Genomic DNA, 27,212 nt, shown 5'->3' with positions numbered 1-27,212 from the left:
AAAGAGAATTTTTTAAAACATAAACATACAGAATTTTTTTAAAACATAAAACATATAGAATTTTATTTAAAAACTTAATAAAAAAGAGAGATGTTATTAATATCATTATTAATTCTTATTAATTTCATTATTTACTTTATCAATATTATTTACCATGATTGTTAATTAATATCATTTTTAGGGCCAAGTAGGGAAAATGCCCTTTGGGAGAACATTCCTTGTCCTTTCTCCTATTGGTGAGTTGAAAGGAAAATCATGAAGAATAATGAATTTCAATAATTTAGAAGAATCTAGAAGTCAGAAAAATATGCTTCTGAATTCAAAATGAAAGGGGTGCATAGCCAGTAGATACACTTTGCTAGAAACAGGAAGTCCCTTTAAACATTTCATGCCACAGAAGAAGGAATACAGATAATTTTCTTATACTCTTTTGAATGATGTTTTAAATTAAAGGGTAGGTTGAGAACTTTGGAAGATAGAGGGATAAGAAAAATAAGTGGAACAGGAAAGGCATTAGTAAAAACAGAAAAATATGAACACAAAAGAATTCATTTAGCTCACCACTTCTCTTGAATGTGACTAACCTACTTGAAAAATATTAATACCTTTACTTTTTGGAAACTATTAGTCTTCATAAACTACCCCAAAGCCACTAAAATGAAAAAACAATGTACGCTTATTGAAATGAAGACTTATGATTCTTCTGGTGACTCCACACCTCCAACCTGTTCTAAAAAATGCAAAATAGAACAGGTAGATAAAGAGGATGAAATTACTGAAAAGAATGCAAAAAAAAAAAGCCAAGATTAAAGTTAAAGCTGAAGAAGAGGAATAAGAAGAAAAAGTGGCAGAAGAAGAAACACCTGTGAAGAAGAAGAAGAAAAAAAGGTAAAAAGAAACACATTAAGGAAGAACCACTTTCTGAGGAAGAACCATGTACCAGCACAACAATTCCTAGTCCAGAGAAAAAGAAGAAAAAGAAAAAAAAAGAGAGATCACAAGAACTAACAGAAAGGAATTACGATTATATCACCTGGACGCATCATGCTTAAGATTCAACTGGGAGCGTACCAGGGATGCTCTCTAACCTAATCAAGGGAAGGTTCATTAAAACAAAGTGATTTATCATCTATAACGTCAAACCTATTTGTGTCTTGACATCAACTCTGTTAACTTATGTCATCATTTCTTAGAGTCTTTAATGTACAAATAAAATTTTCTTTGTATTAAAAAAAACTCAATCATTTGAGTACTAACTCTGGGATGCATGCAGCAAAGAAAGGAACAAGCTGTCCATCACAGACATAATTTTTAAAAGTATTTTGAAACAGCAAAGCAAATCAATATTTGTCATAGGCAGAGCATGACTTTAGTTTATTTTATGGAAGTGTTGAAACGGGGAATGTGTTTGTTTAATCATTTAATATGTAGGACACCTGAAATTTATGCAGCCAGCAATATACATGTTCTATTAAGTTATAAATTAAAATAATGGACTCTAAAAATGTACGCTTTCCAGATGGTTAAAGTTGATACTAAATTTTAATTTAGCTCATGTCAACCATCCTACCTTCACTTTTTAAACCTTTTCTCCATCATATGAACTCATTGAGTTGGATTATAACAGCACAATTAATTTGTGTGTGGGAGTAATTAATACATCATACTCTATCTATATCTAAAAATGATTTGACATGACTTACACTATTAAAAAAGGGAATTAGGCCAAATAAGAGGAGGATAATTGTCTTGGGACCAGAAATATAGTATTTATTACATTAATTACTTATTTTGTACTTCCTAGAAACCAAAATCAAAAGGAAAATTTGTGTGCTATGGTTTGTATATGATTGTTTTGTCCCCACCGAAAGTTGTTGAAATTTGATCTTCAATTGGCAGTGATGGGAAATAAGGCCTAGTGGAAGGTGTTTAAGTCATAGGTGTTGAGCCCTCACGAATGTCTTGGTGCTGTTCCTATGGTATTGGGTTCTCACTCTGGGGAGATGGGATTAGTTCTCTGAAAATGAATTAACTCCAGTGAGAGTAGGTTATTATAAAGGGAGTTTCTTCCTTCTGTTTGGTCTCTCCTCCCACATGGATACTTTCTTTTTGACCCTCTCTGCCATGTTTTTATCTAGCACATGGCCCTCACCAGAAGCCCAGCAGATGCCTGTGGAATGTTTCTCATTCTTTCCAGCCAGCAGAATCATGAGCTAAATAAACCTCTTTTCTTCATAAATCACTCAATCTCAGCAGGTAGTTTCTTACAGCAACACAAAATGGACAAAGACAATGGGTCTTTTTATTTTATTTTTTTAAATCTCCTGTTATATCAGGATATTTTAAGATTTTAATATATCAGAATCTTTTAATATATCAGGATATTTTAATATATCAAGATTTAATATCCTGATATTATTTATAAAAAAACAGACCCATCAAAAAAGAAAATGAGATGTGTCTCATATATACAATATACATATAGTTTTTTCATTGACACATTGTAATTGTACATATGTATGGGGTAGAATTTGAGGTTTTAATACATATATATTATATAATAATCAAATTAGGATAGTTAGCATATCCATCACCCCATGCATTTATCATTTCTTTTGTGGTAAGAATATTAAAAAGCCTCTCTTTTCAGGTAAACACTATTCTACTCTCTGCTTCTATGACATCAACTGTTTTTGGCTTTTTTGTTTGTTTCATTTATTTTAGCTTCCACATATGAGTGAGATCATACAGTATGTATATTCCTATTTCTGGTTCATTTCTTGTAACATGATGTTTTCCACGTTCAAACATGTTGCTAGAAATGACAAATTTCACTCATTTTATGGTGGAATAGTGTTCCATTGTGAATATAGATCATATTTTCTTTCTTTGTTCATCCTTTGTTGTGCAGTGAGGTTGCTTCCATATCTTGGTTATTGTGCATAGTGCTACAATAAACGTGAGAGTGCTGATATCTCTTTTACATATTTTATTTCCTTTTAGTGTATACCCAGTAATAGGATTCCTGGATCATATGGTAGTTCTATTTCTGATGTTTTGAGAAGCCTCCACGCTGTTTTTCATAATGAATCTACTAATCTACAACCTCAGTATGTTGTACACAGTATAGAAGTGTTCCCTTTTTCAATATCGTCATCTACATTTATTTTCTTTTATCTTCTTTATAATAGCAATTATAATGGAGTGAGATGGTATCTCATTGTGGTATTGATTTGCATTTCCTTTATGATTAGTAATGTCAAGCACTTTTTCATATTCTTATCGGCCATTTTTATGTCTTCTGAGAAGTTTCTTTTCAGATATTTTACCCATTTTTAAATAGGATTATTTTGTTTTTGCCATCTGGTTATTTAAGTTTCTTCTATTTTCTGGCTATTAACCCCTTGTCAGATGCATGATTTGCAAATATTTTCTCCCATTTTGTAGGCTGTCTTTTCATTCTGTTAATTGTTTTCTCTGGTGTCATAGCATTTTAGTTTGATCCCATTTGTCTATTTTTGCTTTCATGTCTGTGCTTCTGAGATCTTATATTAAAAAAATTTGCCCAGCCCAATTTTATGAAACATTTTCTTTTTTTTCTAGTAGTTTCATAATTTTGAGTTTACATTTAACTATTTAATTCACTTTCAGTTGGTATGTGCATATGCTGAGAGGTAGAAACCTAGTTTCTTCCACATCTTCTACATGTGTATATTTAATTTTATAAGCACCATTTATAGAAAAGACTGCATTTTCCCAATGTGTGTTTTTGGTGCCTTTGGCAAAATCAGTTGGCTATAGGTACATGATTTTATTTCTGTGCATTCTATTCTATTCCATTGTTCTATGTGTCTGTTTTTATGTCATTACCATGTGATGCCTCTAGCTTTGTTCTTTTTGCTCAGACTTACCTTGGCCACTTGGGGTCTTTTGTGGTTCCATGTGACTTTTAGGATTTTAAAAAAATTTCTGTGAATTTTAGGTGTGTTGAGAGGGATTGCATTACATCTCTGGATGGCTTTGGATAATATGACCATTTTAACAATATTAGTTTTTCCAATCCAAGAACACTGGATGTCTTTCATTTTATTTGTATGCCCCTCAATGTCTTTCATCAATGTATTATAATTTTTGGTATAGGAATCCTTTATCTTCTTTAAGTTTATTCCTAGATATCTTTTTTTTGTAGCTATTGTAACATTCTTTTATGAGTCACTGTTAGTGGTACCAATTTGCATTTCCTTTATGATTAGTGATGTTAAGCATTTTTTCAAATACTTGTTGGCCATTTGTATGTCTTCTTCTAAGAAATGTCTTTTCAGATATATTGTCCATTTTTTTAAAAAGAGCATTTTGTTGAGTTAAGTTTCTTCTATTTTCTGTTAACCCCTTGCCAAATGCATGCAGATAGTGTGATGCCTCCAGCTGTCTTTCATCCATCGATAAATGAATGTTACAGTTTCCACAAAATTTTGTATGTTTTTTGTATTCTGTAAATTTATTGAATTTTTTATTAGTTTGAACTGTTTTTTGGTAGAATCTTTAGGGTTTTCTGTATAAAAGATTATGCCATCAGCAAAGAGGAACAATTTGACTTCTTTTTTCAAATTTGGATCTTTTTATTCTTTTCCCTTGCCTGATTGTTCTGGTTAAGACTTCCAATTCTATGTTAAATAAGGGTGGTAAAAGTGAACAGCTGTGTTTTTTCCAGATCTTAGAGAAAAAGATTTCAAATATTTACTATTTGGTATAATGTTAACTATGGGTTTGTGATCAGAGACCACTATGAAAAACTGTGTTCACAAACTAGAAAACCTAGAGGAAATGAATAAATTCCTAGAAACATTCACTCTTTCAAGCTTAAATCAGGAAGAAATTGAAATCCAGAACAGAAAATCAAAAGTAGTGAGACAAGATTGAATAAGTAATTTTTAAATTTAAAAAATTTTTTTTAAATTTTTTTTTAATTAATTAAAATTTTTTTAAAAATTATTCCCAACAAGAAATGCCCAAGATCAGATGGATTCACAGCTGAATTCTACCAAAAATACATAGAAGAATGAATACCAATTCTCCTAAAACTATTTCAGGAAATTGAAGAGGAGGTAATTCTCTGTCATTTATTCTATGAGGCCAGTATCACCCAGATACCAAAACCAGACAAGGACACAATGAAAAAAGAAAATGACACACCAGTGTCCTCAACATAGATACAAAAATCCTCAGTAAAATACTAGCAAATCACATCCAACAGGACATAGAAAAGAGCATACCATGATCAAGTGGATTTTATACCAGGGATGCAAGGATGGTTCAGCATACACAAATCAATAAATTCCATACATCACATGAACAGAATCAAGAACAAAAACCATATGATTACCTCAATAGAGGTAGAAAAAGCATTCAATAAAATTCAGCACTGCTTTATGATAATAAACCTCAGCAAACTAGATATAGAAGGAACATATTTCAAAATAATGAAAGCCACATATGACAAACCCACAGCCAACATTATACTGAATGGGGAAAAGTTGAAAGCATTTCCTCTAAGTACTGAAACAAGACCACTTTCACAACTTCTATTCAAAATAGTACAGGAAGTCTTAGAGCAACCAGGTGAGAGAAAGAAAGGGCATCCAAATTGGAAAAGAGACAAATTGTCACTGTTTGCTTATGATATGATCTTATATCTAAATAAACCTAGATACTCAACAAAAAACTCTTAAATTTAATAAATGAATTTAATAAAGTTGCAGGTTACTAAATCAATGTACAAAAATTAGTAGCATTTATATTAACCAATAACAATCTGAGAAAAAAATCAGAAGGCAATCTCATTTACAATAGCTACAAACAAATAAAAAGAATACCTAGGAATAAATTTAAACAAGGAAGTGAAATATCTCTACAGGGAACATATCTCTACATGGATGTCAGAAATTGAAAAGGACATAAACAATTGGAAAAACATTTCATGTTTATGGGTCAGAAGAATTAACATCATTAAAATTAAAATAACTTCACTTCTCAAGGCAAACTACAGATTCAATGCAATCCCTATCAAAATACCAACATCAGTTTTCACAGAAATAGAAAAAACAATTCTAAAATTTATGTAGAACCAAAAAAATTGTCTAAAAAGCCAAAGCAATCCTAAGCACAAAGAACTAAACTGGAGGTATCATACTACCTGACTTCAAATTGTACTACAAAGTTACAGGAACCAAAACAGCATTGTACTGGTATAAAAATAGATATACAGATCAATGGAACAGAATAGAAAAATCAGAAATAAAATCATATTTCTAGCTAACTGACCTCTGACAAAGCCGACCAGAACATACATTGAGGAAAGAACAGTCACTTTAATAAATGCTGCTGGGAAAATTGGATTGTCATATAGAGAAGAATAAAACTGGATCCCTATCACTCCCCATATACAAAAATAAAGATGGATTAAAGACAAACATAAAACCCAAAACTATAAAAACACTAAAAGAAAACCTATGGAAATTTCTTCTGAACATTTGTCTAAGTAAAAATGTATGACTAAGACCTTATAAACACAGGCAACCAAAACGAATGAGACTTAGTTAAACTTAAAACTTCTGCACAACAAAAGAAATAACAGAATGAAGAGACAATATGTTGAATGGAGGCAAATGTTTGTAAACTACTCATCTGACAGAGGACTAGTATCCAGAATGCACAAGGGACTCAAAAAAAACTCAACAACAATAAGAAAAATCCCATTAAAAAAGTGGTCAAAGGTCATTAGACATTTTTCAAAAAAAGACATTCAAATGGCCAACAGATATATGAAAAAGTGTTCAACATCGCTAATCATGAGAGAAATGCACATTAAAAAAGCAATGACATATTATTTTACCCCAGTGAGAATGGATGTCAATAGATAAAAAATAACAGATGTCAGTGAGGGTGTGGATAAAAGGAAACTAGCATACACTGTTGGTGAGAATGTAAATTAGTACAAACTCTATGGAAAAGAGTATGGAGAGTTCTCAAAGAACTAAAAATAGAACTACCATTTGATCTAGCAATCTCACTACTGGGTATTTACCCAGAGGGAAAAAAAAAGAAATCAACACATTAAAAAGATACCTGCATGTAGATGTTTAATGCAGCACTATTCACAATAACAAAGATATGGAATCAACCCAAGTATTTCTCAATGTATGATTGGATAAAGAAAATGTGGACTACATACACAATGGCTTATTATTTGGTCATAAAAATTATTGAAGTTATGTCTTTTGCAGCAACATGGATGTAACTGGAGGTCATTATCTTAAGTGCAACAAGCCAGGCACAGAAAGTCAAATATGGCATGTTCTCACTTCTTAGTGGGTGCTAATAAATATGTATACATGGATGTAGAGAGTAGATTGATAGATAATGGAGGCTTAGAAAGGTGAGGGGGAGGAAGGGGTGGATGATTCAAAATTACTGAATGGGTATGATGTATATTATACAGGTGATGATTACACTAAAGGCCCAGACTTCACCACTATGCAATATCTCTATATAATAAAACTGCACTTACACCCCATAAATTAATACAAATAAATAAAAAAGAAGCCTCCAAATTATTCTCTAAGTACTTGATATAATTTGGCTCTGTGTCCCCACCCAAATCTCATCTCCATTTGTAATCCCCATGTGTTGAAGGAGGGATCTGGTGGGAGGTGACTGGATCATGGGGGCAGTTCCTTTATGCTGTTGTTGTGATAGTGAGGGAGTTCTCATGAGATCTGATGGTTTGCAAGTGGCAGTTTCCCCTGTGTGTTCTTTCTCTTCTGCTGCCTTGTGAAGAAGGTTCCTTTGCCTTTCCCCATGATTGTAAGTTTCCTGAGGCCTCCTCAGCCATGCTGAACTGTGAGTCAATTAAACTCTTTCCTTTATAAATTACCCAGTGTCAGGCAGTTCTTCACAGTAGTGTGAAAATGGACTAACACAGTAAATTGGTACCAGCAAAGTGGGGCACTTCTATAAAGATACCTAAAAATATGGAAGCAACTTTGGAACTCGGTAACAGGCAGAAGTTGGAACAGTTTGGAGGCCTCAGAAGATGACAGGAAGATGTGGGAAAGTTTGGAACCTCTAAGAGACTTGTTGAATGGTTTTGATCAAAACGTTCATAGTGATATGAACAATAAAGTCTAGGCTGAGGTGGTCTCAGATAGAGATCAGGAACTTATTGGGAACTGGAGTAAAGTTCACTCTTGCTATACCTTAGCAAAGATACTGGTGGCATTTTGCCCCTGCCCTAAAGATCTGCAGAACTTTGAACTTGAGAGAGATGATTTAGGGTAGCTGGCAGAAGAAATTTTTAAGCAGCAAAGTATTCCAGATGTGACCTGGCTTTTTCTAAAAGAATATAGTCATATGTATTCACAAAGGGATGATTTGAAATTGGAGCTTATGTTTAAAAGGGAAGCAGAGCATAACAATTTGGAAAATTTGCAGCCTGACCATGTGGTAGAAAAGAAAAACCCATATTCTAGGGAGAAATTTAAGCTGGCTGCAGAATTGTGCATAAGTAACATGGAGCCGAATGTTAGTAGCTAGGAAAATTGGAAAAATGTCTTTAGGGCATTTCAGGGATGTTCATAGCAGCCCATTCCATCACAGGTCTGGAGGTCCAGAAGGGAAAAATTGTTTCCTGGGCCAAGCTCAGGACCCTGATGCTTTGTGCAGCCTTGAGACTTGGTGCCCTGTGTCCTAGCCACTCCAGCTTTAGCCTTGGCTAAAAGGGGCCAAGGTACAACTCTGGCCATGGTTTCAGAGGGTTCAAGTCCCAAATCTTGGTGGCTTCCACATGGTGTTGGGCCTTTAGGTGTGCAGAAGAGTTAAGCTTTGGGAACTTTCACCTAGATTTCAGAGGATGTATGGAAATGCCTGAACGTCCAGGCAGAAGTCTGCTGCAGGGGTGGAGCCTTCATGGAGAACCTCTGCTAGGGCAGTGTGGAAGGGAAATGTGGAGTTGGCACTCCCATGCAGAGTCCCCTTGTGTCACTGCCTAGTGGAGCTATCGGAAGAGGGCCATGGTCCTCCAGATCCCAGAAAAGTAGATCCACTGACAGTTTTCATTGTGTGCATGGAAAAGCCACAGGCACTCAATTCCAGCCTGTGAGAGCAGCCACAAGGGCCATACCCTGCAGAGCCACAGGGGTGAAGCTGCTCAAGGTAATGGAAGCCCACCCCTAGCAACAGCATGCCATGGATGTGATTCATGGAGTCAAAGAAGATTTGAGAGCTTTAAAATGTAATGACTGTCTGGCCACGTTTCAGATTTGCATGGAGCCTGTGGTCCCTTTGTGCCAATTTCTCCCATTTGGAATGGGAACATTTACCCAATGCCTGTACCCCCACTGGATCTTCGAAATAACTAACTTGCTTTTGATTTTATAGGCTCATAGGCAGAAGGGACTTCCCTTATCTCAGATGAGACTTTGGACTTGGACTTATCAGTTAATGCTCAAATGAGTTAAGACTTTGGGGGACTGTTGGGAAGGCATGATTGGTTTTGAAATGTGAAAACGACATGAGATCTGGGAGGGGTTGGGGTGGAATGATATGATTTGGGTGTGTCCCAACAAAAATCTCATCTCAAATGGTAATCCCCATGTGTAGATGAAGGGACCTGGTGGGAGGTGATTGGATCATGGTGGTGGGGGGGTTCCCCCATACCGTTCTCATGATAGTGAGGGAGTTCTCACAATATCTGATGATTTACAAGTGGCAGTTTCCCCTGCATCTCTCTCTCTTTCTCTGTCTCTCTCTCTCTTTCACTCTCTCTTTCTCTCACTTTCACTCTCTCTCTCTCTCTCCTGCCTCCTTGTGAAGAAGGTGCCTGCTTTCCCTTCACCTTCTGCCATGATTGTAAGCTTCTTGAGGCCTCCCCAGCCATGCAGAACTATGAGTCAAGTAAATGTCTTTCCTTTTAAAATTACAGTCTTAGGCAGTGCTTTATAGCGATATGACAATAGACTAGTACAGCACTGCTTTACTGTAGATCACAACTTTTGATATGCCCTATTTCCATTTTCTTTCAGTTTCAAAATATTTTCTAATTTTCATTCTGATTTCTTCTTTGACCCATGGGTTATTAAAAAAATCCATTGTTTAATTTTCAAATATATAAAAGTGTTTCAGATATCTTTCTGTTATTGATTTCTATTTTAATTATGTTGTGATAAAAGAATATGCTCTGTATGATTTTCATGCTTTTAATTTTGTTGGGACTCATTTTATGACCCAGAATGCACTCTATCTTGATACACTTGCAGAAGCATTTGAAAAATATGTGAATTTTTTTTGGTCATATGGCATTTCTAAAGATGACACTTCTACTTAATGATGTTCATAGTTCTTCTGTATCCTATAAATTTCAATTATTTTACATGTATTCACAGTGTTCGCATCTTCTATATCCCTACTGCTTGTCTACTTTCTATGATTTTCTGAGAGACGTGTATGAAATATATCATTATAAATGTAGTTATGTTTGTCCTTTTTTTTCTATCAATATATGTTCTATACATTTTGAATCTCTATTATGAGCACACACATTTCAGTTTTATAAGTCCTTGTGAAGAATTGACCCCTTTATCATTACAAAATGTAACCTTTTATTTATTCCTTTTTCTAGTGTCTACTTTTATATTAACAGGGCCCCTATAGCTTTCTTTTGAAGCATTTGAAGCATTAGCATTTGTGTGGTTTACTTTTTAAAAACATTTACATTTAAGCTGTCTATATCATTCTATTTAAATGAGTTTTTATAGAAAGCATATAGTTTGTTCTTTACATTCTGACTACTTAGTTTCTGCTTTTTAATTGAATGTTTAGACAATTCTTATTACTTTCTTAGCATTTGCTTTTTAAAAATTTTTCTTTTTAGTTCTTGCTACAGGTACAGGAACTGCAGGTTTGTTGCATAGGTAAAAATGTGCCATGGTGGTGTGCTGCACCTGTCAAACCATCACATAGGCATTAAACCCAGCGTGCATTAGCTATTTTTTATGATGTTCTCCCTCCCCAACTACCCCTCGAGAGGCCCCAACACGTGCTGTTTTTTGCCCTGTGTCCTCATGTGTTCATGAGACAATGCGTTCTCATTGTTCAGCTCCCACTCATAAATAAGAATTTGCAGTGTTATGTTTTCTGTTCCTGCATTAATTTGCTAGGGTTAATGACTCCTAGTTTCATCCATGTCCCTGCAAAGGACAGCTCTTTCAGATAATCCAATCAGTCGTAGGTTTAGTCTTTTTACATAGTCCCATATTTCTTGGAGGTTTTGTTCATTCCTTTTCATTCTTTTTTCTCTAATCTTATCTGCCTGCCTTATTTTAGCAAGATTGTCTTCAAGCTCTGATACTCACTCTTCCGCTTGGTCGATTCAGCCATTGATACTTGTATTTGTATCATGAAGTTCTCGTGCTGTTTCTCAGCTCCGTCAGGTCGTTTATGTTCCTCTCTAAACTGGTTATTCTAGTTAACAGCTCCTATAATCTTTGATCATGGATCTTAACTTCTTTGCATTGGGTTATAACATAATCCTTTAGCTCCATGGAATTCGTTATTACCCACTTTCTGAAGCCTACTTCTGTCAGTTCATCCATCTCAGCCTCAGCCCCATTCTCTGCCCTTGCTGGAGAAGTGTTGCGATTGTTTGGAGGAGAATAGGCATTTTAGCTTTTGATATTTTCAGCATTTTTTGCGTTGGTTTTTCCTCATCTTCATGATGTATCTACCTTTAATCTTTGAGGCTGATGAACTTTGGATGGTGTTTCTGTTGGGTCTTTTTTGTTAATGTTGTTGTTGTTGTTACTTTCTGTTAATTTATTTTTCTTCTAACAGTCAGGTCCCTCTTCTGCAGGTCTGCTGCAGTTTGCTGGGGATCCACTCCAAACTCTGTTCACCTAGGTATCACCAGTGGAGGCTGCAGAACAGCAAAGATTGCTGCCTGCTCCTTCCTCTTGAAGCTTCATCCCAAAGGGTCACCAACCTGATGTCAGCTGGAACTCTCCTGTATGAGGTGTCTGGAGACCCCCGTTGGGAGGTCTCACCCAGTCAGGAGGCACAGATCAAGGACCCATTTAAGGAAGCAGTCTGTCCCTTAGCGAATCTGGTGTAGTGTGCTGGGAGAATACCCCTCGTTGGGATCAGCCGGTCTTTTTAGAGCCAGCAGGCAGGAAAGGTGGTCTCTTTAGAGCCAGGAGGCAGGAAAGGCTAAGTTGTGTCCCAGGGAGATGAGAGTTCTATCTGGAAGCCCCCCAGGAACTCCGTCGTCCCAGGCCGACTCCAGACTGCTGTGCTGGCTGTGGGGATCTCAAGCCAGGGGGTCTTACCTTGCCAGGCTCCATGGGAGTGGGACCCGCTGATCAAGGCCACTTGCTCCCTGGCTTCAGTCACCTTTCCATGGGAGTGCACTGTTCTCCTGTCTCATTGAAGTTCCAGGAGCCGCTGGACTAGGTAAAAACTCCTGCAGCTCAATGTCTGCCCAAACAGCCACTGACAGAAGCGGCTGTCGTTGGTTTGCCCAGTTTTGTGCTTGAGACTCAGGGCCCTGGAGGTGTGGGCTCACGAGGGAATCTCCTGATCCACAGATTGCAAAAATTCGTGGGAGAGGCATAGTACCCCTGGCATGTACCCCTCACCCCTTCCATTTGCTGGGAGAGGGAGGTTTCCCTGCCTCCGTGCAGCTCCGGGGTGAAGTGAAGCCCCACCCTGCTTCTGCTCACTCTCCGTGGTTGTTCCAACCGCCTATCAGTCCCAGTAAGATGAACTTGGTATCTCAGTTGGGGATGCAGAAAATCACCTGCCTTCCACATTCCTCTTGCTGGGAGCTGTAGACCGAAGCAGTTTCTAGTCAGCCATCTTGGCCCTTCCCCAAATCCAGGGATTTTTTTTTTTTTAAATGAAAGAAACCTCATGTAATTAGCGTTCTAATCCCCATATCAGGTATTGTTTAATTATTTGTGTATATACAACTATTAATTTGTTTTCATTTTCTTCTTAAAAAACTTCCTTTAGTCTTTCTTATAATGTCAGTGGGCTGACAACAAATTTTCTGTTTTTGTTTCAAAAAGTCTTTTAATCTTCACTTTTGAAGGACATTTGTCCTGATTATAGAATTCCTTTTTTATTTTTTGGGGGACATTAAAATGCCATTCTGTATCTTTTCTGCTTTTTTTTTCTGTTGAGAAATCTGAGGCCATTCTTTATTCTTATGTATCGTGTACTTTTAACTCAATCTGAATTTAAGATGTTGTTTTTATCATTGGTTTTCTGCAACTTCATTGTGATGTATCTTGACGGATTTTTCTGTTAATCTTGTGGATTTCCTTGGATCTGTGGATTTATAATTTTTAACAAATAATTAACTTCCAATAAACCCTCTCTCCTTTTTTTTTTCTAGGACCCTAATTACACTTATTTTAGTTTGCTTGATATTGCCGAATATAGTTTTTTCTCTGTGCTTCAGTTTAAGCAGGCTCTATATCTATGTTATCATGCTCACTGCTTTTTTTCTTTAGCAATGTCTCAATTGCTGATAATCTTTTGAATGACTTTTAAATTTCAGACATTATAGTTTTCATCCTAGGAATTCCCTCCGATTCTTTTTTCTTTCAATTTTTTAAAGCTCATGTTTTCCATTAAATTCTTGAGCATATTTAAAATGGATTTCTCTGGATATAGGTCACATATCACCATAGTTTTTACATTTTGACAGAATGTGGTATATGGTAATTTTTTTCTTTTTCTTTTTTTTTTTCTTTTGAGACAGAATCTCATTCTGTTGCCCAGGCTGGAGTGCAATGGCTCAATCTCGGCTCACTGAAACCTCTGCCTCCTGGGTTCAAGTGATTCTCCTGCCTCAGCCTTCTGAGTAGCTGGGACTATAGGCGTGTGCCACCACGCCCAGCTAATTTTTTCTGTTTTTATTAGAGATGGGGTTTCACTGTGTTAGCCAGGATGGTCTTGATCTCCTGAGCTCGTGATCTATCCACCTTGGCCTCCCAGAGTGCTGGGATTACAGGGATGAGCCACCACACCTGGCCCAAGGTAAATTTTAATAAAATGCTGGACATGGTAACTTTATATTGTAAGATGTTAGATTTTATTGTTTTCTTTTAAAGTATAATGAAACTTCATCAGCATGCAGTTATCTTTGGATGAGTTTGGTTCATTAGAGGGGTTTTTTTTTTTTTTTTGAAGTTTTATTAAGGAAGATCTAGAGTATACTTTCTCTCGAGCAACTTTCATCCTGCCATTGAGGCATAATCCTCTGGCATCTCTACTGAATTAATTCCTTGTTTCACACTGTCTAGAGCAAATGCGAATGTTAGTCCACCTGTGGTTGAAAGTGAAATTCAGCTTATAGATCTCTGTTTTTTTTTGTTTGTTTGTTTTTTGGCTATCCTCGTGGAGGTTGACCCAACTTGAGTTATTACTCAGTAAGAGAATCAAGAAGACCCCTTGGGCAGATTCTGAACCTTTTTCTTGGTGTAGTCTCCTTCTCTCTACTCTGCTTTATATATTCTAGCTGTCTGAACCTTACTGAGCTGCTAGCTCTGTCACTTCAACTCAGAAAGGCCAATGTGCTTTTATTATGTCTTCCCTCCCCTCAGCAAGGTCCATAAAGTGCTTCCAGGAAGAAAGCTAGAATGGCTGTAGAATTCACCCTATATTGCCTTTTCTCAAATATCACATTCCTGTGCTTCCTACTGTTTCCACTTTGTAAAAGTAGTTGTTTTGTTCAGTTTGTCCCATTTTCTGTGTGTGTGTGTTGTGTTAAGAAGGAAAGTTTGGTCTCAGCGACTCGCGACTCTTATCACGGCTAGAAGTCCCCCAGCTTTCTTATACTATTTCCCCAAAGCTAAATTTAGCTCCAAAAGACACTTTCCTAGGTATTGCATTATGACAAGGCTGCTCACAACATAATGAGTGCTATTGATCCACAGGTAACCTCAATGGTCTCATCTTCCAAAAGAGCACACAGAAGAAAACTATAATTGCCTATCAAATTATTTTCACTACAGAAATGAGTAATGTGATATGACATTTTATCTCATAAAAATACTTGTCAAAATAGTTTATGGCTTCTCAATCTGTGGCTTTTTTGATAAAGAAAAATAAAAACTAACTGTGCTATCTATGATCCAACAAATTACATTTTACACACATGTACACACACAGAGAAAAATCACAAAAGTTTCTGAGCAAGAAAACTATGAAGTTGTATCGATTTATGATACTCATTAGGGTAAATAGGTTCCTGCAGTTAGTAAACATGGTCTTATTGTTATTTAATATTCTTATTATCATGAATGATAAAGAAACCGAACCCCATCCAATGAGACTCCATGAAATTGTGCCCAGATACTTTGTGGCAAAATCAAAGTTCATCAATCACTTAATCTGTCTCTTCATCCTATACTGTATCTACCACAATGCACAAGCAATATTGTGCATCACATGTATAAAAGTTTGCTTGGAGTTTGTTTACCTGAGAGTGGTAGTCTTTATTCAGTCAACAGACCTGTGATTTATTTTCAAGTCAAGTTCACATTTGAAATATTATTGAATCATAGTGAAATAACATAGTAACAAGAAGTTAGTCTTCAGCATCAGAAAACTTGGTGCTAAATCTTAGCTTCACCACTTCTGGCCCAATGTCACATAGGTAGAAATTTTCTAAACTTTGGGTTTCTTCACAGGTTAGGCATTAATTATAGTAATAGTGCCTAACTCATGCAGTTTTGGTTTTTGGTAATATTAATGAGTTACCAACAATCATAGTAGATGCTCACTAGCTATTTGTTAAAAGATCATGTGTAAAAAGCTTACTGATAGCCAATAATCACTGAGTGGCTAATATTTGATAGCTACACTCTTGCTTTTGAATTATAAATGTTTTAAATGTAATTTTACAATGTCAGTTTTTCAAAATGTAGCATTTTAAACTCAAAATAAGAGGCAACTGTAATGAATCAGGGCAGTGTTCCACAAGGTGGTCCATGAGTTCGCGTCACCTTGGTGTAACTCAGCATTCTATAGTAGAGACATAATCTTATGCAAGCCGTGGAGTGGACTTGTTTCATAAATGCACCAGGACAATGATATTTAGTTGTTGTTGTTTTGAGTGATTGAAAGTACTAGAACCTGACAGGTTTGTCCTTGAATCAATTCACAACCTTCAAAGAATGTTGTTTCGAAGGGCACTGTCACCATCACTTTCCTGCCCCTTCTCCACCCCAAATCAATTCCTATGAACCAGGCTAATTAGTCTCTCTTCTGATTGACACACACACACACACACACACACGCACACATACACACACACTCTCTTTCTCCCTCTTTGTCTCTCTATCTATTACTTTTTTCATAGAGGCCACAGTCCAGCCTTATTGATCTGGAGTTACCTGCCTTTTCAGATGACTGCACTAGTTGTTACATGTTCAGAGAGGAATAGCATGTTCTATTTCATATTATGATTGAATGGCACAAGAGTAAACTGTTGTATTACTTCACACAGCAGAGCTATTCTTGTGCAATTTGAAGTGATTCACTTGATTCAGAAGTGTGAGACAATTATAACTCCTGATTACAATTAGGAAAGATGTGAGGAATCCCAATAATGATTTGTTTTTAGGAGAAAAATAATATTGCATTGATTGTTACAAGTTCAGAAATAAAATGGTGGCATTTTCACATCTGATGGTATATTTACAACTTATGAAGACTGCCATTCAGCACTCAAGCTGTCCTTCACTCACCACTGAACTGCAGCATGTAAGAGACTGAGAGTTGAGCAGAAATTCAAGTTCAGAGTGGGCCATGCTTGATGGTCACACACATTCTTTGTCCCTTAGGCTGCATTCAATGCCGCTTGAGCAAAAATAACTAGAAAATGGATTTCTTATTCTGCAATGTATAGAGATTAAATTCTCAAATTGTGATCAAAATGCCATTATAGATGCCTTTCATAGAGTCATTATCAATGTATCTCTTTTATAAAAAGTGTCTCTTCATGGGCTTAATTGGTTGCCTTGAATAAATGATTTAAAATATTTCAAAAATTCTTAATTCAGAACATAAGCATGCTTTACAATTGACAAATATATTTGACAGTAAAAATTGTTTTGCTTTCAAAAAATTACTAAAGCACTTATTAAGCATCGTGCATTTCTTTGCCTTCCATCATCTTTATATAGAACTTTTTAAGTGCCTTTATAAGGTCTATAATAATTTATCTATGCTAAGAAAGTGAATGTTAAGTGTTCTCACCACAAAAATAACTATGTGAGGTAATGCATACCTTTAGCTAGATTTAGCCACTCCACAGTGTATACATATACTTGAAAACATGTTGTATAAAAGAAATACATGGAATTTAATCAATTTATAAATAAGTATGTAAAATAGTGTATTGTTTTTCCTTACCATAGTAACATTTATTCTAGCACAGTGCCTGGAACATAAAAGTCACTTATTAAATATTTGATGAATGAATAAATCAGTTTTGTAAAATTATAAAAGTTATTGCTTCTACCATCCCCCTCTTTCCTCCTCAACTTCTCCCTTTCTTGCACTGATATAGTTTATGGATTAGGGGGAGGTGAGGGAGAGTTTGAGCAGGAAAAGGAAAAATGAAAACTGTCCTGCCATTTTCAATGCTTCTTATTTAGGAAATAATACTATTTTTATATTTTAAAATGGGAGCTGTTACAGAGGTTAATCTTGGCATCAGGCAGTGGACTATATTCCAAAAATAGAATAAACTCGAAAGATAATTCAATATATTTGACCAGACTAATATCAATGATAATTTGAAGCAAAAGAGGAAGAATCAGCATGTTTAATCATGCAGCCAATAAAGGGGGAAGCAGTGCCTTTATACAAATAGAATATGACTTGAAGAAAATACACACACACACACACACACACATACCAGTTCAAGGTTATTTGATAAATTTGAATGTATTTGTCTAATTATATATTTAGGGAAAAATGAATCTATGTGTTTTACTTGAAACCATACAAAAATCATTTGTGAATTCAGAAAAAAAGTAAAAACTCTGTGAATACATATTTTTTAGTTGGGAGGAAAGGAGGCTGATGAACGCAAATCACTTTGGCTCCTAGAGTCAGACAACCTGTGTTCCAAACATGTCTTCATCATTTATTCACCATGTGACATTGCTCAGCCTCCCTTGAAGAGTTGCTCTGAAAATTGAAGTTAATATGTAACAACACTAAACTCAGCCTTGTCCATACTGTAGGAACTGTGTAATTGAAAACTTTTCTTCCAAGAAATTTAATTTTATTGTAGATTTATTTATGTGTGTGTGTGTGTGTGTGTGTGTGTGAGAGAGAGAGAGAGAGAGAGGGAGAGAGAGAACATGCCACCATTTGTTGCTCATTTTCTCAAAGATTTTTTCAAAGTATATAGGTCATAATTATATTATCTTTCCTAGATGAAATCTAATTGAGGCATTAAGTGCTCATCTGTCTCTGAAAGAAAATGTTGTTTCCTGGTGATTTCACTTGATATTTTAGCTGTGTAAGATGGGAAGCAGGATAAGAAAAAGAAGGATGAAGGTAAGTTAGCTGGGTGTGGTGACACATACCTGTTAGTCCCACCTACTTGGGAGGCTGAGGTGAGAGGATCACTTGAGCCCAGAAATTCGAGGCTGCAGTGAGTTATGATAGCACCACTACACCTCAGTCTGGGCAACAAAGCAATACCCTGTCTCTAAAATAAAATGAAATAAAATAGAAACCTCCATCTACTGGATGTTTTGATGGTGAGTGCAAGTTTTATGCATGCAGATGGACAGCCTACTGACAAACGTGGCCTTTGCAATATTTATTTGGAAACTAAACACTGCAGTACATAAAAATCCTGAAAAATTTATTTATTTTTTGAAAACACAAGCATTTAAAACAAACATATCTCTTGCTTCAGTGAATACTCAATAGACTAAATGTTATAATTGCTTTTAAGTGCCAAAGAAGTTGAAGAAATAAAATAAAATTACAGTGACTGCTTCCCTATGTTATAATTGCTTTTAAGTGCCAAAGAAGTTGAAGAAATAAAATAAAATTACAGTGACTGCTTCCCTCATGAAAAATCATTCTTTTAGTAATTCAGTAAACAAAGGAGCTTATATAATACTGTTCATCTGTGAAAAATGCTTTATGATGAAGATGTCTCTGTGATAAGAATTAATTAAGACCGACCATCTGGTTTTAAGAGATTTTATTTGATAGAAAAAGGAAAAAATGTATTATTGAATTATCTTAAAAGGTAAAATGTGTTAAAAATTGAAAAATAGATAATATTATTGTGATTAATTTAGGCAGACATGTTTTATGTTTAGGGAAGAAGGGAATTACCTGGCTTGATTAAAAATTAAATAAATATCTCTATCTAGATCTGTATCTATCTATATCTCTCTGTACATGTCTATCTATATATCACATGTGGCCCATAGTATCATTGTTTTAGCTTTGAATTTAGACTTTTAAATGAAATATTTAGGCCTTTGAAAAGTTTCCTCTTAGAATTAATTTTGTATACCTCTCCTTCCCCAATCCCATATAAAAGTAAGTTTATAGAGCTTTCTGCCTGTTCTATGATTTTTATTGCATCTTTCTTTAACTCTACTGGAAATTTCACAGAAAAATCCTAATTGTTGAACAACCTCTATGGTCATGAAATTCTTCTGTCTCCTTAAGTTTAAACCTTCATAAAACAGCTGCATAATTCTACTCCTAGTAGTAAAGATAAATATATTTTTCAGAGTAAAGGTGATGTTGGCCTTCTATTTCATATATGTTATACCTGAATACATTTCTGGAGTGTGTTTATTGATCTAATCAGGTAAGAACGAGGCAGTTAGCTCCCAAAGCCCATAGTTTTTCCAATCCACCAAAAAGACCTTAATTCGAATCTCTGTGTAATTTACTAGTCAGGTGGTCTGGGACAATTTCACAGGATAGTTACAAAATGAGTTCTCCTGTTATTTCTCCTGATAATCTTGCTAGCTGTTTTTAAAATGTTTAGCATGGGTCTAGCAAAGAGCAGGTGCTCAATCAGTGTTAGCCCTACAGTAGCAACAGGTTTTTAGAAAAGGCTTCTGGCCGCACACAGTGCCTCACGCCTGTAATCACAGCACTTTGGGAGGCCAAGACGGCAAGAGCACTTGCTCTTTGCTGGACCCATGCTAAACATTTTAAAAACATCTAGCGAGATTATCAGGAGAAATAACAAGAGAACTCATTTTTTAACTACCCTGTGAAATTGTCCCAGACCACCTGACTAGAAAATGACATAAAGATTTAAATTAAGGTCTTTTTGGTGGATTTATACGATTAGTTTCTCTGGTTCTCAGGCCTTTGGTCTTGGACTGAATTACACCACTGGGCTTTCTGGGTCTCCAGCTTGCAGATGACAGATCTTGGGACTGCTTGGCCTTCATAATCGTAAGAACATATTATTCATAATAAATCTGTCTCTTTCTCTCTCTGCCTCTCTCTCTCTCTCTGTGTGTGTGTGTACACAGTCGTATGCAGCACATGTTTCAGTCAATGACAGACAGACAGCAAATACCATGGTGGTCCCAAAAGATTATAATAGAACTGAAAAATTCCTAGCACCTATTGATGTCATAGCCATCATAACATCATAGCAACACATTACTCACGTGTTTGTTGGATGCTGGTGTAAAAAAAACCTACTGTGCTGCTACTTGTATAAAAGTATAGCACATGAAATTACATATAGTACATAATACCCGGTAGTAACTATAAAAACCATGTTATTGGTTTATGTATTTACTATACTATACTTCTTATTATTCTTTTAGAGTATATTCCCTCTGCATATGAAAAAATGGTTAACTGTAAAACAGCCTTAGGCAGGTCCTTCACGAGGTACTCCAGAAGAAGGCATTGCTCTCATAGGAGATGACAGCACCATTCATGTTATTGCCTCTGAAGACCTACCAGTGGGACAAGATGTGGAGATGATATTGATGATCCCAACACTTTGTAGGCCTAATATGTGTGTTTGTGTCTTAGCTTTTAACAAAAAAGTTTAGAAAGTAAAACAAAACAATATTTTTTAAAAACCCAACATAACAAAAGGCTTATAGAATAAAGACATAAAAAATAAAATATTTTTGTGCAGCTGTACAACATATCTGTACTGTAAGTTGAGAGTTACTGCAAAAGAGTCAAAAAGTTTTTAAAAATTGAAAGTTTATAAAGTGAAAAATTACAATAATTTGTAGGTTTTTGACTTTCAATAATAGAAGGCAATTATTGAAGAAATAATTTAAAAAATAAATTTAGTGTAGCTACTTTACTTTTACTGTACCTTTTGTCTTTACTAGTTTAGACACACAGGTATTTACAATTGTGTTACAATTGCCTACAGTATTCAGTACAGTAATATGTTGTAGAGGTTTATAGCCTAGGAACAAAAAGCTATACCACATAGCTTGTATATATAGGATGCTATACCATCTAGGTTTGTGTAAGTGCATGCTATGATGTTCATACAATGAAATAACCTAATGACTCTTCTCAGAATGTATCTCCTTCATTAAAAAACACATTACTATACTGGTCCTGTTTCTCTGGAGAAACCTGACTAATAAAATACCTATTTCCACAACATCTAATTGAGGTTTTTGAGCTAAATGAGATAAGGTGGCTTTCCTAGAGATGTGATTCTCTATTTGTGTTCCAGACAATGATTACTCAGAAACTTCTAACAGTTCTTAATGTCATTAATAGAACATATAATTTCCTGGAAAGATGTGTTCTGTGAATCTAGGTTTTTTTCTTTCTACTATAGAACTTTCCTTTTAACAATATTGATCTGGCGAATGTTCTACTGAATCAGAAGAAGATGAGATTTCTGGTATTGTGCCCAACATACAAATATCCCATGTACAATAGACAAGTAAATATTCATTGAAAGTATTTGAGGTGTGAGTGCCTGAGGCGAAATCTTACAAACAAAACTGCATTGAAAAAATATCATCATTGCATCCGGCAGAAACCAGTCAGGAAACAGAGACTATACATTTATTTTAACATAAAAGATTTTATATAAAATAAACTATTGTTAGCTAGGTATTGACAAACTGAAAAGGAAGAAGATAACACTAAAATATTAAAGAGGGAACAAACTCAGGAAGCAGATACCATCCCTGGGATTGGGAGAACCCAGAGAAGAATTATTGAAACATAGAAGCTTGAAAGTGGAGCCCTGTACAACTGAGATTCAAGCCTCCAGGAGGCAGGACTGGACAGAAGGTGCTGGTATGTTTCTGAGCTCAGAGAAAGGCCCATGTGTTTGGGACCCAGGTGGATGCCAATCAGATAATTCTGCTGTCTCTTAAGGGAGTGAAAGGGAAGTGATGGGGTTGATTCTGCAGGTGATGGAAAATCTACAGACTGAAACCTTGCTGTGTTCACACTGAGAGGAAGATAAAGCAAAAAGAAAAAAAGGAAAAAAAGAAAGAAACATAATCTTTTTTTCCTCCTTGTATTAGTCTGTTCTCATGCTGCTATGAAGAAATACTCGAGACTGGGTAATTTATAAAGAAAAGAGGTTTGATTGACTCACAGTTCTGGAGGGCTGAAGAGGCCTCACAAAACTTACAGTCATGGTGGGAGGGAAAGCAAACATGTCTTTCTTCACATGGTGGCAGGAAGGAGAAGAATGAGAGCCAAGTGAAGGGGGAAGCTCCTTATAAAACCATCAGATCTCATTAGAACTTACTCATTATCATAAGAATAGCATGTGGGAAACTGCCCCATGATTCAATTGTCTCCCACCAGGTCCCTCCTATGACTTGTGAGGATTATGGGAACTACAAGTCAAGATGAGATTTGGGTAGGGACACAGCCAAACCATATTATTCTGCCCCTGGCCCCTCCTAAAGCTCACTTCCTGACATTTCAAAACACAATTATGCCTTTCCAACAGTCCCCCAAAGTCTTAGCTCATACCACCATTAACCCAAAAGTTGAAGTCCAAAGTCTCATCTGAGACAAGGCAAGTCCCTTCTGCCTATGAGCCTGTAAAATCAAAAGCAAAAGCAAATTAGTTACTTCCTAAATACAATTCAGGTACAGGCATCAAATGAGAGAAATTGGCCAAACAAAGGGGCTACAGGCCTTGTGCAAGTCCAAAATCCAGTGAGGCAGTAATTAAATCTTAAAGCTCCTACATAATCTCCTTTAACTCTATGTCTCACATCCAGGACATGCTGATGCAAGAAGTGGGCTCCCACGGCTTTGTGCAGCTCTGCTCTTGTGGCTTTGCAGGGTAAAGCCCAACTCCAGACTGCTTTCTCAGGTTGGTGTTGAGTGCCTATAGCTTTTCGAGGCACATGGGGTGCAAGCTGTTGGTGGATCTACCATTCTTAGGTCTGGAGAACCATGGCCCTCTTCTCACAGCTCCACTAGGCAGTGCCCCAGTGGGGACTCTGTGTGGGGGCTTCAGCCCCATATTTCCCTTCCACACTGCCCTACTAGAGGTTCTCTATGAGAGTTTTGCTCCTGCAGCTAACTTCTTCCTGAACATCCAGAAGTTTCCATATATCCCCTGAAATCTGGGCAGAGGTTCCCAAACCTCAATTCTTGACTTCTGTGCACATGCAGGCTCAACACAATGTGGAAGCTGCCAAGGCTTGGAGCTTGCACCCTCTGAAGCCTAAGCTGTACCTTGGCCCCTTTCAGCCACAGTTGCACCAGATGGGACTCAGGGCAACAAGTCCTGAGGCTGCACACAGCAGGGGGGCTCACAAAACCATTTTTTCCTCCTAGGCCTCCAGGCAGAGGTCTCTGACATGTTCTAGAGACATTTTCCCCATTGTCTTTGTGATTAACGTTCAGCCCCTCATTGGTTATGCAAATTTCTGCAGCGGGCTTGAATTTCTCCGTAGAAAATGGGTTTTTCTTTTCTTTTCTATCATATCATCAGGCTGCAAATTTTCCAAACTTTTATGGTCTGTTTCCTCTTGAATGCTTTGCTGCTTAGAAATTTCTTCTGCCACATACCCTAAATCATTTCTCTTAAGTTCAAATTTCCACAGATCTCTAGGGCAGGAGCAAAATGCCACCAGTCTCTTTGCTAAAGCATAACAAGAGTCACCTTTGCTCCAGTTCCCAACAAGTTGCTCATCTCCATTTGAGACCGCCTCAGTCTGGACTTCATTTTGCATATCACTATCAGCATTTTTTTTCAAAGCTGTTCAACAAGTCTCTAGGAAGTTCCAAACTTTCCCACATTTTCCTGTCTTTTTCTGAGCTCTTCAAACTGTTCCAACATCTGCCTATTACCCAGTACGAAAGTTGCTTCTAGGTTTTGGGGTATCCTTATAGCAGCACCCCACTCTACTGGTACCAATATACTGTACTAGTCTGTTCTCATGCCGCTATGAAGAAATACCTGAGACTAGGTAGTTTATAAAGGAAAGAGGTTTAATTGATTCACAGTTCTTCATGGGTGGGGAGGCCTCAGAAAACTTACGATCATGGCAGGAGGGGAAGCAAACACATTCTTCTTCACCTGGCAGCAGGAAGGAGAAGAATGAGAGCCACGCAAAGGAGGAAGCCCCTTATAAAACCATCATATAGTTCTCACATTGTCTGAGAACTTACTCCTATCCTGAGAATAACATGGGGAAAACTGCCCCCATGATTTAATTACCTCTCAATGGGTCCCTCCCGCCACACAGGGGTATTATGGGAACTAAAATTCAAGATGGGATTTGGGTGGGGACACAGCCAAACCATCTCACTTCTCCTCTTTCAGCTTTTTTGCCTTTCCCCAGTGACTTTGAGGGGCAGAGCCTAACAAGTACCCAGTGTTCTTTGGATCTGAAAGAGTATGGCTTAATGTCCGACAGAATCATCATTACCAATACAATTTTATTTTAAGAGCAATTACTGTGTTCCTCTAGTAGACATTCAGAGATAAAATAGTAAGTAAACAGAAAAAATGAAGTTAAATAAAATGTAAAAGCTAAAAAGAGAGTGGCAGTAAGGGTTGATGAAAGAATGGAGTATGTTTAAAAAAAAACAAAAAAAAAAACCAAAAATAACAGAATTTGTATAAAAGAGACCAAATAGCATATACTTTCTACTGTATCTCCCTAGAATAGCATCCTGCTTTTCTCAACTAGTTCTCCTTGCTTTTTGTTATTAATAGGGTTTGAGGGTCAGGAGTGAAAGTGGATGCTGTCCTTTTCATACATGTTATAAATAACTCTGAATAAAAATCTAGACCCAGCTCAGCCAATCACAATAATTTACTCCCATAGCCATAGCCCCAGTTGATGGGTAAATCAGTACTCTTTTATTTATTATTGTTGTTATTATTAATAGTATTTTTATTTGGGATTCAGTTTATTTCTGTTGATGAAGAAGGTGTGAAGATAGGTGCTGCCAACAGTCACATTTTCACCCACGCAGAGGAGGCGAAATAGAGAATGAATTCGCCCCGAGTAAAACATAGCTGGAAAAGGAGGAAGCAATTTGGTGGCATAAGTCCTGTCTTCCAGGGCCCATGACACTATGCTGTTCCCCTCCAATCTCTGTGATTTAGTGACTTTAACCAATAAATCTCACCTTCTGCGGAATCGAGTTTGACTTTGGTTTCCCGCTTGGTAGTCGAAGTCTTCACTAGTCCAGCGTATCTTCCCTGATTTAAAGCCCGATAACTTCTATTACAAGGTCTATTAAACATACTTTCCCCTTTCAACACTCTTTTATTTTTTCTAACTCACTGTGGCATACTTTTCATGGAGAGACTAAATTACTTTAAGAATAACCTTGATTTTGTTCCCATTTATAGTACAAGAAAATCCTTTGCAAATTTCAATATTTTAACTAAATTCCTATGAGTTACTTAAGACTCACATTGTATTAACAATATGCATAACAATCACACACTATTAATGCATTTCTCTTTATTGTGTTTTTTCTCCTCTGGAATGTTTTATCCTTCCTTTCCCGCCACCTGTACTCTGAAACTCTGAACTAATGTTTGAAGCATACATAGAATGTAGACATGTAAAAACCACTTCCGGCCGGTCGCAGTGGCTCACGTCTGTAATCCCAGCACTTTGGGAGGCTGAGGCAGGCAGATCACGAGGTCAGGAGTTCATGACCAGCCTGACCAACATGGAGAAACCCCGTCTGTACAAAAAATACAAAAATTAGCCTGACGTGGTGGCACGTGCCTGTAATCCCAGTTACTTGGGAGGCTGAGGCAGGAGAATCCCTTCAACCCGGGCGTTGGAGGTTGCAGTGAGCGGAGATCGCACCACTGCACTCCAGACTGGGTGACAGAGCGAGACTCTGTCTCAAAAAAAAAAAAAAAAGAACGAAAAACAAACAAAAAAAATACTTTCTCCATGCAGCCTTGCTGAAATTCTTCTCAAGGCTGGAATTTAGCAGTTTTCCAATCCTCTGATGACATTTCCTCATATGAGAAATACCTCAAAGTTTAGATAGACACTAATACACATGACTTCTCCTTCCTATGCAACTGCAAGCTCCATGAGTGTGAATATGAGTTTGAGTGATTTATGTTCATAATTAAAATAGCAGTGGCAGGTAATATATCCATACTGAATAGCTCTGTGTCCTGTTATCTATTTCTAATGTGCCTTATATATACAGACTACATTTTTGTTGTTTTGGGGTGGCTTTGTTGTCATTGTCCATGAATCTCAAACGGACAAAAATATTTTTGTAATTTGAAAGTAGAAACTATACTCTTACCGTTCTATTACTCTCTCTCTCCTCTACCACTACCCTTTTCTATCAGCTGTCCCTAGATTTTCCCAGCTGTCTCAAAACTGTTTATTATCCCTGTTTCCAGGTTGTTTGAAAGGCATTTGATAGCCTTTGAATAATTCTGAGGGGTTGCTTTTTTTTTTTTTTTTTTTTTTTGCTCTTGGACATTTTTAAACAGCTTAATTGTTAAAGTTGTTATTTTGTTATTAACTGATTAAATAATAGAATCTTCCCGGGCCGGGTGCGGTGGCTCACGCCTGTAATCCCAGCACTTTGGGAGGCCGAGGCGGGCGGATCACGAGGTCAGGAGATCGAGACCATCCTGGCTAACACGGTGAAACCCCGTCTCTACT

The 27,212-nt window shown here is 36.7% G+C and overlaps 1 long non-coding RNA gene and 1 pseudogene across 1 annotated transcript in view; one reads left to right on the top strand and one right to left on the bottom strand.

Moving 5' to 3' along the window:
* The window catches only part of LINC02141 (long intergenic non-protein coding RNA 2141), a 198,621-nt gene that overhangs the window by 28,388 nt on the left and 143,021 nt on the right, over window positions 1-27,212 (bottom strand). The gene's annotated exons all lie outside the window — the stretch shown is intronic.
* Window positions 445-1,198, top strand: LOC100421258 (NOP58 ribonucleoprotein homolog (yeast) pseudogene; annotated as a pseudogene).

Source organism: Homo sapiens, chromosome 16, assembly GCF_000001405.40.
Source record: "Homo sapiens chromosome 16, GRCh38.p14 Primary Assembly".
Classification (NCBI taxonomy): domain Eukaryota; kingdom Metazoa; phylum Chordata; class Mammalia; order Primates; family Hominidae; genus Homo; species Homo sapiens.
Note: the sequence above shows the minus strand (reverse complement) of the source record. Positions and strands in the feature narration are given on the sequence as shown.